The following is a 12,237-nucleotide window of genomic DNA, read 5'->3' on the forward strand; positions in this document are numbered from 1 at the left end:
TATAGCATTGACTGTGCCAGCCTCTGTTTTAAACGTCTTTGATACTAGCAACAGGGCTAGGAGGAGGGTATTATTATAATTCCCACTTAACATAGGAAACTGAAGCACTGAGAGGTCAAGTAGCTTGCCATAGGTCACACAGCTACCACGTGGCTATCTGAGAGGTGAACTCAGGCAGCCTGGCTCTCTAGTATGTTCTCAGCTAGTGGGTGTCTGCTCTGCATGCTTTATTTATTTATTTATGTATTTATGAGATGGAGTTTCGCTCTTTTTGCCCAGGCTGGAGTGCAGTGGTGCGATCTCACTGCAACCTCTGCCTCCTGGGTTCGAGTGATTCTCCTGCCTCAGCCTCCCGAGTAGCTGGGATTACAGGTGCGCACCACCAGGCCCAGCTAATTTTGTATTTTTAATAGAGATGGGGTTTCACCATGTTGGCCAGGCTGGTCTTGAACTCCCGACCTCAGGTGATCCACCCACCTTGACCTCCCAATATTTATTTTTGAGATGGAGTCTCACTCTGCCACCCAGGCTAGAGTGCAGAGGCGTGATCTCGGCTCACTGCAAGCTCCACTTCCCAGGTTCAAAGGATTCTCCTGCCTCAGCCTCCCGAGTAGCTGGGATTACAGGCACCCTCCTCCATTCCCGGCTAATTTTTGTATTTTTAGTAGAGGCGAGGTTTCACCCTGTTGGGCAGGCTGGTCTCTAACTCCTGACCTCAAGTGATCCACCTGCCTCAGCCTCCCAAAGTGCTGGGATTACAGGCATGAGCTACCGCACCTGGCCATATGTGCCCAACTTTCTAAAATGTTGACTCAAATTTGTTTGAAACCATGCAGGCAAAACGAAGTAGGTCTATGAGCCACATTTGGTCTGTAAGCCACTAGTTTGCATCCTTCTGGGTTATACAATTTCCCTTCTTCACATTAAGTCACAGGAGAATAGAGGGGGAGTATTTTTTTTGCACGGAATCCTTTGGGTTCTCTCTGATCTCTTTATTTCTGAAGTTCGTGATCCCAGAAGCTCTGATTTCTTCTATAATCTGAAAAAAATCCCCAATTCCCACCATTATACCAACTCAGAGTATTTTTTTCTTCTATTGAGCTCTGCTGCCTCCTAGCTCTGAGTTGACTTATCCTCACGGAGGGTTCTCAAGCATTAGAAGCAGAAAGAGGCCAGAGACAGTGGCTCATTCCTATAATTCCAGCACTTTGGAAGGCTGAGGTGGGCGGATCACCTGAGACCAGGAATTCGAGACTGGCCAACATAGTGAGATCCCATCTCCATGAAAAATAAAAACAAAATTAGCTGGGCGTGGTGGCACATGCCTATAGTCCCAGCTACTTGGGAGGCTGAGGTAGGAGGATCACCTGAGCTCAGAAGGTGGAGGTTGCAGTAAGCCAAGAGCACACCACTGCACTCCAGCCTGAGCAATGGAGTGAGACTCTGTCTAAAAAAAAAAAAAAAAGAGAGAAAAAGAAAAAAAAAAGAGGCCAAATTTGCCCACCACCAACTCTTACCTGGTTTTGAAGAAAGAATCTCCTTCCTAGGGTTTTAGGACCCAGCTGCCTCATTCTTTTGCAAGGATCACTCACTCTTCTATGAGTATGAACAAGCCCCTTTCCAAAAGAAGTCCTCACTGCGGGCAAGGCTGGGGCAGTGCAGCTGCGTGGGTGGTCATGGGCACTGCCCTGCTGAGGGCAGGGACTGGGATACCAGGCCCCTCCTACCTGCTTTATCTCTGAGACCAGGAACCAAGGGACCATATCCTACAGTTGATGAGCAGGGATGCTGCCCCTAGAGTCCCTTGTCTAACACTCTCCCCTCTCCTGTGTTCAGAGGTTTGGGCTCTGGGTAGCAAAACTGAAGACAGCTCATCTTTAGAGATCATCGGCCGGGCGCGGTGGCTCACGCCTGTAATCCCAGCACTTTGGGAGGCCGAGACCATCCTGGCTAACAAGGTGAAACTCCGTCTCTGCTAAAAATACAAAAAATTAGCCGGGCGTGGTGGCGGGCGCCTGTAGTCCCAGCTACTCGGGAGGCTGAGGCAGGAGAATGGCGTGAACCCGGGAGGCGGAGCTTGCAGTGAGCCGAGATCGCACCACTGCACTCCAGCCTGGGGGACAGAGCGAAACTCCGTCTCAACAACAACAAAAAGAGATCATCAAGCCGGCAGACAAGATGCTGCCAAACTCTGACCCCACCTCAGGGCCTTTCTCCGTTCGCTCTTCCTGGAATCCTTTTCCCGAGCATGGTCCCATGGCTGGCTCCCAAATGTCACCTTCTCGGAGAGGTCTTCCGTTATCAAAATTAGCTCCCCTGCGATCTTCGCTTCCACATATTCTCATCAACTGCCTTTTTTTTTTTTGAGACAGGGTCTCACTCTTGCCCAGGCTGGAGTGCAGTGTCAGGATCAGGGCTCGCTGCAGCTTAGACCTCTGTCCATCAATCGATCCTCCCACCTCAGCCTCCTGAGTAGCTGGGACCACAGGTGTGCGCCACTACGCCAGGCTAATTTTTATTTGTTATTTGTGTAGACGCAGGGGGGTCGGGGTCTTGCTATGTTACCGGGCTGGGCTCGAACTCCTGGCCTCAAGCGATCCTCCCACCTCTGCCTCCCAAAGCGCTGAAATTACAGGTGTGAGCCACCACGCCCGGCTCATCGCTTGCTTTATTGTCTGAATCGCGTTTATCTCTCTACAAAAGCAGTGTCATCCGTCTTTCCCTCCAGAGCAAGTCCCCTTCCTTCCCTGGTTCCAGAATTCCCCTCTCCGCGTGGTCCCGCTGGCAAAGCGCTGGCACCCGCAGCTCCTCGGTCCCGCGGCGCTGGCGGCCGCCCTGGCCTCCCCCTGGCTGCCATAAGGCACTACTGCCTTATGCGCAACACAAACACAGACACAGTATTGGACCGGGGCACGCTTTAATCGGGAGGGCTGGAGCAGAGGGCGGCCCCGCCGAGGGGCGTGGTCAGTGTGGGCGGAGCCTTGGGGGCCGAGTCCGCTGGTGGGCGGGACCCAAGGGGAGCAGCCAGTAGGGAAGTTGGGCGAGTTCCAGAATCAGGGGGCGTGGCTGTGTGGCTGTGGCCTCCGTGGGGTGGGCGGGGCTTACATGCCGGGCACCACCCCATTGGTCTCCATGTTGGTGAGGTTACCCCGCAGGTTCTGCTCCTCCTCGAAAGCCTTGAACAGTGAGTTGAAGTTGCCGGCTCCAAAACCCTGTGGCGGGAAAGAGAGGAGATGAGCCAAGGACCCAGAAAACCGAGTGTGCTAGCTGCCTGTCCCCTCGGGCCTGCCGGGGACAAGCAGTACCTGGTGGTTGTGGCGCTGGATGACTTCCAGGAAGAGCGTGGGCCGGTCCTGCACCGGTTTGGTGAAGATCTGCAGGAGGTAGCCTTTCTCGTCGTAGTCCACCAGGATTTTCAGCTCCTAGGCGGGAGACAGGGGGCTCTGCTAGGGGAGGCTGGCACGGTGAGATCCTTGGAAAGTCCACAGGGGCTCCTGCACCCCAAAAGTCTGGAAATGACCTCTTTTTCTGGCAGTTCAGCCACCTCCAAATATATCCCCAAACTGTCCTATTACTATCCCCCTACTACAGTTCCTAAGGCACCATTCAAGACTGCTGCCCGCTTCTAATCTTGTATCCTTACAATCCATCCTCCCCGCAGACATTATCAGGACACTTTCTTTTTCTTTTTTGAGACGGAGCCTTGCGCTGTTACCCAGGCTGGAGTGCGGTGGCGCAATCTTGGCTCACTGAAACCTCCGCCTTCCGGGTTCAAGCGATTCTCCTGTCTCAGCCTCCCGAGTAGCTGGGACTACAGGCGCAGGCTACCATGCCCGGCTAATTTTTGTATTTTTAGTAAGACGGGGTTTCACGATATTGGTCAGGCTGGTCTCGAACTCCTGACCTCAGGTGATCCACCCACCTCGACCTCCCAAAGTGTTGGGATTACAGGCGTGAGCCACCATGACCTGCTGCGGGATCTTTTAAAAGTCGGATCATGTCATTCCCCTGTTTAAAATCCTCCAGTGGAAATCGGAACCCTCATGTACTGCTGGTGGGACTGTAAAATGGTGCAACCACTTTGGAAAACAGTCTGGCAGCTTCTCAAAAAGTTAAACATATAGTGTTGCTTCCTTAAAATACGGATTAAAAAAAAAAAAGGGGGTGGCCAGGCATGGTGGCTCACTTTGGGAGGCCGAGGCAGGTGGATCACCTGAGCTCAGTTCGAGACCAGCCTGGCCAACATGGGGAAACCCAGTCACTACAAAAAAAAATACAAAAATTAGGCTGGGCAAGGTGGCTCACGCCTGTAATCCCAGCACTCTGGGAGGCTGAGGTGAGTGAATCACCCGAGGTCAGGAGTTCGAGACCAGCCTGGCCAACATGGTGAAACCCCATCTCTACTAAAAATAAAAATAAAAATAAATTGGCTGGGCATGGTGGCACACGCCTGTTATCCCAGCTACTCAGGAGGCAGAGGCAGGAGAATCGCTTGAACCCGGGAAGTGGAGGTTGCAGTGAGCCAAGATCGGCCACTGCTCTCCAGCCTGGGCAACAGAGCAAGACTCTGTCTCAAAAAAAAAAAAAAAAAAATTAGCTGGGCGTGGTGGCGGGCGCCTATAATCCCAGCTACTGGGGAGGCTGAGGCAGGAGAATTGCTTGAACCCAGGAGGCTGGAGGTTGCAATGGGCCAAGATCGCACCACTGCACCCCAGCCTGGGAAACAAAGCAAGACTCCATCTCTAAACAAACAAAAGGGAACATGGAATTACCATGTGACCTAGCTACTCCTAGATATATTCCAAAGTGCATTGAAAACACGTCCACACAGAGCCTTGTACATAGATGTTCACAGTAGCATTACGTATAACACCCCAAAAGTGGAAACAACCCAAATATCTATCAACGAGGAATAGATAAACAATGTGTGTCTATCTATACAATGGGATATTTTTCAGCCACAAAAAGGAACGAAGCACTGACACACACCCCACGCAGATGAACCTTGAGCACATGCTATGGGAAAGAAGCTGCTCACAATAGGCCTATTTTGTGATTCCTTTTTTTTTTTTTCCGAGATGGAGTTTCACTCTGTCGCCCAGGCTGGAGTGCAATGGCGCGATCTCGGCTCACTGCAACCTCCCCTTCCCTGGGTTCAAGCAATTCTCCGGCCTCAGGCTCCCCAGTAGCTGGGATTACAGGCATCTGCTATCACACCCAGCTAATTTTTGTATTTTTAGTAGAGACAGGGTTTCACCATGTTGGCCAGGCTGGTCTTGAACTCCTGACCTCATGATCCGCCCACCTCAGCCTCCCAAAGTGCTGGGATTACAGGCATGAGCCACCGTGCCTGGACTTTGTGATTCCTTTTGATGAAATGTCCAGAATAGGCAAATCTATAGAGACTGAAGGTAGATTAATGGTGCCTAGGGCTGGGGTGGGAGGGGGGAAGGGAACAGAGGGGGTTGGGAGGTGCTGGCTAAGAGGCTCAAGGTTTCTTTTTGGGGTGACAAAAATGTTCTAAAATTGATTTTTTGCCCAGGCTGGAATGCAGTAGCCTGATCATGGCTCACTGCAGCTTTGACCTCCTGGCCTCAAGTGATCCTCTCACCTCAGCCTCCTGAGTAGCTGGGACTACAGGCACGAACCACCATGCCCAGCTAATTTTTTAAAACTGTTTTTTTTGTAGATACAGGGTCGCCCTGTGTTTCTCAGGCTGGTCTTAAACTCCTGGCCTCAAGCAATCCTCTCACTTCAACCTCCCAAAATGCTGGGATTATAGGTGTGAGCCACTGTGTCTGGCCTAACTGTTTTTGTTTTTCTTTTAGACAGGGTATCACCCAGGCTGGAGTGCAGTGGCCTGATGATGGCTCACTGTAGCCTCTACCTCCTGGGTTGAAGTGATTCTCCCACTTCAGCCTCCCCAGTAGCTGGGACCACAGACACAGATCACCACGCACAGCTAATTTTTTTTTTTCTTTTTGTAGAGATGGGGGTTTCGCCATATTGACCAGGCTGGTCTCAAACTCCTGACCTCAAGTGATCCACCTGCCTTGGCCTCCCAAAGTGCTGGGATTACAGGCATGAACCACCATACCTAGTCCTAAAATGGATCTTTTTTTTTTTTTTTTTTTTTTTTGAGACAGAGTCTCACTGTGTCGCCCAGGCTGGAATGTAGTAGCGCAATCTCGGCTCACTGCAACCTCCGCCTCCCGGGTTCAAGTGATTCTCCTGCCTCAGCCTCCTGAGTAGCTGGGATTACAGGCATGTGTCACCACGCCTGGCTAATTTTTGTATTTTTAGTAGAGGCAGGGTTTCACCATGTTGGTCAGGCTGGTCTCGAACTCCTGACCTCATGATCCGCCCGCCTCGGCCTCCCAAAGTACTGAGATTACAAGCATGAACCACCACACCCAGTCCTAAAATGGATTTTGATGATAGTTGCACAACATAGCAAATAGCTAGAAATCATAGAATTGTACACCTTAAAAAAATGACATGTTATGTGACATATGTCAATAACACTGCTAAAACCAAACCAAAAAACCCTCCAGTGGTTTCTGGTCACAAAAGAACAAAATCCAGATTCCTGAATAATAGCTCACAAGAGGAACTGGCTCTTGCTTACCTGTCTGACCTAGGTCATCGCTCAAAAACAGCCTCCCATCCACTCTAGCCTATTCTTTCTGTTCCTCAGACGCTCAGGGCATGCTCCTACCTCGGCCCTTGCTGATCCCTCTGCCAGGAATGCCTTTCTTCCCGCTGTTCACATGGCCAGCTCCCGCTCATGATCTAGACTTCACTCAGATGTCACCTCCTCAGAGAGGCCCTCCCTGACCAGTCTCTGTAAAGCAGCCCCAGGCTGCCTGTTTGAACTTCCTGCACTGACTATCTCTGACCGTGCTTTTATTGTTTATTTGTTTGTCATCTGTCTCCTCCTCCCACATAGACCCTAGAATAAATGTCCTTTGCCAGCAGGGACTTGGTCTGGGCTCCCCTCCGGGCTGAGACAATATTTCTGAAAAGATGCAATGCAGAGCTCATACTCCCCCCACAAGGCTGCGGATCCTGCCTGGGCCTCACCTCCAGGGCATCAATGTTCTCCTTCACCTTGATCTTGGCCGTCTTCAGCTTCTCCCGCAGTTGTTTGTAGTACGTGGAGGGAACAGATAAGAACTCCAGGCCTCTCTCTCTCAAGTGGCGAATCTGTTTCAGAGCAAAGCTGAGGTCAGCCTTCGGCCTCCAAGTTCAACTCCCCTAGCCAGGTGGAGGTGCTGGGTCATCAGGATACAGGGTCCCTATCCTAGCTCCCCTCAACTGCCAGGATGCTGTGTGGCCTCTTCCCCTTTCTTCTCTGTCATGGGCCCCGTTAGAACAACAACTGCTAGATTTATAGAACACTCACCATGTGCCTGCCTTGAGCACTTTCTTTTTTTCTTTTTTTTTGAGATGGAGTCTCTGTTGCCCAGGCTGGAGTGCAGTGGCACGATCTTAGCTCACTGCAACCTCTGCCTCCCGGTTCAAGCGATTCTCCTGCTTCAGCCTCCTGAGTAGCTGGGATTACAGGTGACTACCATCACACTCAGCTATGTATTTTTAGTAGAGATGGGGTTTCACCATGTTAGCCAGGTTGGTCTCGAACTCCTGACCTCAGGCGATCCACCTACCTCGGCCTCCCAAAGTGCTGGGATTACAGGCGTGAGCCACTGAGCCCGGCCTGAGCACTTTCTACGTATTCCCTCATTATGTCCATGCAGCAATCTTTTGAGGCAGCTGAAGGACTATTCTCCCATTTCATAGCTGGGGAAACTGAGGCATGAAACGATTAAGGATCTATTAGGCCGAGTGTGGTGGCTCACGCCTGTAAGCCCAGCACTTTTGGAGGCTGAGGCGGGCAGATCACTTGAAGTCAGGAGTTGGAGACCAGCCTGACCAACATGGCAAAATCCTGTCTCTATTAAAAATACAAAAAAAAGGCCGGGCGAGGTGGCTCACGCCTGTAATCCCAGCACATTGGGAGGCCAAGATGGGTGATCACGAGGTTAGGAGATCAAGACCATCCTGGCTAACACAGTGAAACCCCTACTAAAAATACAAAAAAAAAATTAGCTGGGCGTGGTGGTGGGAGCGTGTAGTCCCAGCTACTTGGGAGGCTGAGGCAGGAGAATGGCGTAAACCCGGGAGGCAGAGCTTGCAGTGAGCCGAGATCGCGTCACTGCAATCTAGCCTGAGCAACAGAGCGAGACTCTGTCTCAAAATAAAATAAAATAAATAAAAAATAAAAAATAAAAATAAAATACAAAAAAAGTTATCCAGGCGTGGTGTCATGCACCTGTAATCCCAGCTACTTGGGAGGCTGAGGCAGGAGAATCGCTTGAACCCAGGAGGTGGAGGTTGCAGTGAGCCAAAATCGCACCACTGCACTCCAGCCTAGAAGACAGAGCAAGACTGCATCTCAAAAAAGAAGGATATATATATATATACACACACATATATATATTTGAGAGACAGGGTCTTTGTTCTGTCACCCAGGCTGCAGTGCAGTGGCATGATCTTAGCTCACTGCAGCCTCAACCTCCCCAGGCTCAGCTGATCCTCCTACTTCAGACTTCTGGGTAACTAGAACCACAGGTGTGCACCACCACACCTGGCTAATTTTTTGATTTTTTTGTAAAGATGAGGTCTTATGGCCGGGCGCAGTGGCTCACACCTGTAATCCCAGCACTTTGGGAGGCCAAGGTGGGCAGATCACAAGATCAGGAGATCGAGACCATCCTGGCTAACACAGTGAAACCCCGTCTCTACTAAAAATACAAAAAAAAACATTAGCTGGGCGTGGTGGCGGGTGCCTGTAGTCCCAGCTACTTGGGAGGCTGAGGCAGGAGAATGGCGTGAACCCAGGAGGCGGAGCTTGCAGTGAGCCGAGATCGCGCCACTGCACTCCAGCCTGGGCGACAGAGCCAGGCTCCGTCTCAAAAAAAAAAAAAAAAAAAAGGATGAGGTCTTACTATGTTGCCCACGTTGGTCTTGAACTTCTGAGCTCAAGCAGTCCTCCTGCCTCGGCCTCCCACAGTGTCTGACCCCCCAATTTAAATGTGCAATGCCATTCACCCTTGCTGTCCCAATTCCCTGCTTTACTTTCTTCCTGGGTGCTCTCTACCATCTAGCATTTATATTTTACTTATTTTGTTTATTGCTCCACAAGGGCAGAAACTGTTATAGGCATGAGCCACCATGCCCAACCTTAATTTCCTCATTTTAAAAAAAATTTCTTTTTTGAGGTTGCGGGGAGATAGGGCCTCACTCTCTGTCACCTAGGCTGGAGAAAAGTGGCTCAATCATAGCTAACTGCAGCCTTGAAATCCTTGGCTAAATGGATCCTCCTGCTTCAGCCTCCCAAGTAGCTAGGACTACAGGCATGAACCACCAAGCCTGGTTAATTTTGTTTACTTTTTGCAGAGACAGGGTCCCACTGTTTTCCAGGCTGATCTCTAACTTATGGGCTCAAACAATCCTTCTGCTTTGGCCTCCCGTGTAGTTGGGACTACAGGCATAAGCCACTGTGCCCAGTCCTAATTTCCTTTATTAATTACTATTATTTTTTTCTAAAGCAGAATTTCACTCTTGTCGCCCAGGCTGTGGTACAGTGGTGCGACCTTGGCTCACTGCAACCTCTACCTCCTGAGTTCAAGCACTTCTCTTGCCTCAGCCTCCTGAGAAGCTGGGATTACAGGTGCCCGCAACCACGCCCAGATAATTTTTGTATTTTTAGTAGAGATGGGGTTTCACCATGTTGGCCAGGCTGGTCTCAAACTCCTGACCTCAGGTGATCCCCCTGCCTTGGCCACCCAAAGTGCTGGGATTACAGGTGTGAGCCACTGTGCCCGGCCCTAATTTCCTGATTTTTAAGGTAAGGCAACTAAAGTCCAGAGACAGCACTGAATCTCCCAGAGACACAGAGCAAGCCACTGGCAGAACCGGGACCATCACCCAGGCTTCCTGATACCCTGGCGCCTGCTACCTCCAAAGCCCAGGGGTTCTGTGGAGACTGAACTCTCTGGGGGTGGGTGTGGCTGTGCCTGCCCATGAGTTGCAAGAAGCAGTGAGGGAGTCCTGTCAGTCTCCCAGCCCAGAGAAACGGGCCCAGGACTGCCGCCACCCGCCCTCTCAATTTTGCAGAGATCGTCCCTGGCTCTGAATGAGAGAGGAATTCGGACAGGGAAGGGGGTTCTAACCGCTGTGATGATGTCTTCGGTCTTGAGAGCGATGTGCTGGACCCCAGCGCCCCCGTTATAGTCCACATATTCCTGGGGGAGGGAAACAAGGAGACCACTGTCATTTGCCCCATCACCCACATCCCTGACCCTACAAGAGCCCCCAGACCTCTTCCCTGCTCCCCTCTCCCCCAGCCAGGGGCGGCCTCACCTGGATCTGGGACTTCTTCTTGCCAGGCGCTGGCTCATTGATGGGCATCTTGATGGACTCTTCATAGTTGGCCACCACAATGGATCGCAGAGAGCTATATTCCGTGTGCACCTGCGTGTCATCCACGGACCAGAAGCGGTGGAACTGCAGGTTTTTCAGGTACCTGTAGGGTGGGCGGTGGAACACATATGCTCTGAGCGCCTCCAGGGACGGCCTCCATCACCCATTTCCACCTTCCAGAATCTGTCCCTGAGCAGGCTCCAGAAAGGAGATGCCACTGCCATCATACCCATCAGAGATTTAGATCTTTTTGTTGTTGTTGTTGCTCGAGACAGAGTCTCACTCTTGCCCAGGCTGGAGTGCAGTGGTGCAGTCTTGGCTCACTGCAGCCTCAATCTCCAGGCTCAATTGCTCCTCCCACCTCAGCTTCCCAAGTAGCTGGGACTACAGGCATGTGCTACCACACCTGGATAATTTTGGGGTATTTTTATTTTTTGTTTTTTGAGACGGAGTTTCGCTCTTTTCGCCCAGGCTGGAATGCAGTGACGCAATCTCGGCTCGCTGCAGCTGCCACTTCCTGGGTCCAGGCGATTCTCCTGCCTCAGCCTCCCAAGTAGCTGGGATTACAGGCATGCACCACCATGCCCAACTAATTTTTTGTATTTAGTAGAGACAGTGTTTCACTGTGTTGGTCAGGCTGGTCTCGAACTCCTAACCTCAGGTGATCCACCCGCCTCGGCCTCCCAAAGTGCTGGGATTACAGGCATGAGCCACTGTGCCCGGCCGTATTTTTTGTAGAGATGGGGTCTCACTATGTTGCCCAGGCTGTCTTGAACTCCTGGGTTCAAGCCATCCACCTGCCTGGGCCTCCAAAGTACTAAGATTCCAAATATGGGCCACCACGCCCAGCCTAGATTTGTACCTTTATGATGACATTTTTCCTTCAGGTGGAAGTGTCTTGGAACGAAATACATACAGGACGGCAAGGCTCCCACAGATGGAAGTAAAGTGCTTTGAGAAAAAGGCCCTTGCTTGGAATTTGGACAGGGGGCTCTCTGGGTGGTGGCAACCTTCCTCCAAGCCTCCCTGGACTGTGATGTCCCCAGGGTTCCTCAGAAGGAGGGCCTGTGGGTCGCTTTGGGCCTCAAGTCCACTGGTCTCCATGTTGACAGTTTTACAGTGAATAAATGCATCAGTGGCCTCAGGCTAACTCCCAACATCTTGTGCTGTATTTTCCACTTTTATTTTATTTTACTTTATTATTATTATTATTATTTTGAGACAAAGTCTCTCTCTCTCACCCAGGCTGGAGTGCAGTGGCGTAATCTCAGCTCACTGCAACCTCCGCCTTCCTGGTTCAAGCGATTCTCCTGTCTCAGCTTCCCAAGTAGCTGGGATTACAGGCACACACTGCCACACCCAGCTAATTTTTGTATTTTTAGTAGAGACCGGGGTTCGCCATGTTGGTCAGGCTGGTCTTGAACTCCTGACCTCAGGTGATCCACCCGCCTCCGCCTCCCAAAGTGCTGGGATTACAGGCGTGAGCAAGTGCGCCCGGTCTATTTTATTTTATTTGTTTATTGGAGACAAAATCTTGCTCTGTTTCCCAGGCTGGAGTCTCACTCTGTCGCCCAACCTCCACCTCCCGGGTTCAAGCGATTCTCCTGCCTCAGCCTCTTGAGTAACTGGAATTACAGGGGCCCAACACCTCGCCCACTGAGTTTTTATATTTTTAGTAGAGACGGGGTTTCTCCATATTGGTCAGGCTGGTGTTGAACCCCTGACCTCAAGTGATCCTCCCACCTCGGCTTC

General features: G+C 51.1%; 1 protein-coding gene across 2 annotated transcripts in view, besides 3 other annotated features; it reads right to left on the minus strand.

The window, feature by feature from the left end:
• Positions 2,222-2,892: an enhancer, noted in NCBI's record as "H3K27ac-H3K4me1 hESC enhancer chr12:122276754-122277424 (GRCh37/hg19 assembly coordinates)". NCBI's record gives its function as "activates a minimal SCP1, AML or CMV promoter by ChIP-STARR-seq in primed H9 embryonic stem cells {active_cell/tissue: H9 hESC(primed)}" and the evidence as "EXISTENCE:reporter gene assay evidence [ECO:0000049][PMID:30033119]".
• Positions 2,855-3,054: a silencer, noted in NCBI's record as "silent region_5000". NCBI's record gives its function as "represses an Ori minimal core promoter by ATAC-STARR-seq in GM12878 lymphoblastoid cells {active_cell/tissue: GM12878}" and the evidence as "EXISTENCE:reporter gene assay evidence [ECO:0000049][PMID:35858748]".
• Positions 2,901-12,237, minus strand: part of HPD (4-hydroxyphenylpyruvate dioxygenase) — a 49,085-nt gene continuing 39,748 nt past the window's right edge. For both annotated transcript variants that reach the window (NM_001171993.2, NM_002150.3), the window contains 5 exons: positions 10,426-10,588; positions 10,236-10,307; positions 7,084-7,206; positions 3,306-3,422; positions 2,901-3,212 (listed from right to left, as the gene is read on the minus strand). In NM_001171993.2, the coding sequence (NP_001165464.1) occupies positions 3,102-3,212; positions 3,306-3,422; positions 7,084-7,206; positions 10,236-10,307; positions 10,426-10,588 (586 nt within the window). In that variant the 3' untranslated portion in view covers positions 2,901-3,101. The remainder of the gene's footprint in view (positions 3,213-3,305; positions 3,423-7,083; positions 7,207-10,235; positions 10,308-10,425; positions 10,589-12,237) is intronic.
• Positions 3,564-4,233: an enhancer, noted in NCBI's record as "H3K27ac-H3K4me1 hESC enhancer chr12:122278096-122278765 (GRCh37/hg19 assembly coordinates)". NCBI's record gives its function as "activates a minimal SCP1, AML or CMV promoter by ChIP-STARR-seq in primed H9 embryonic stem cells {active_cell/tissue: H9 hESC(primed)}" and the evidence as "EXISTENCE:reporter gene assay evidence [ECO:0000049][PMID:30033119]".

This window comes from Homo sapiens, chromosome 12, assembly GCF_000001405.40.
Source record: "Homo sapiens chromosome 12, GRCh38.p14 Primary Assembly".
NCBI classification, from domain to species: Eukaryota; Metazoa; Chordata; class Mammalia; order Primates; family Hominidae; genus Homo; species Homo sapiens.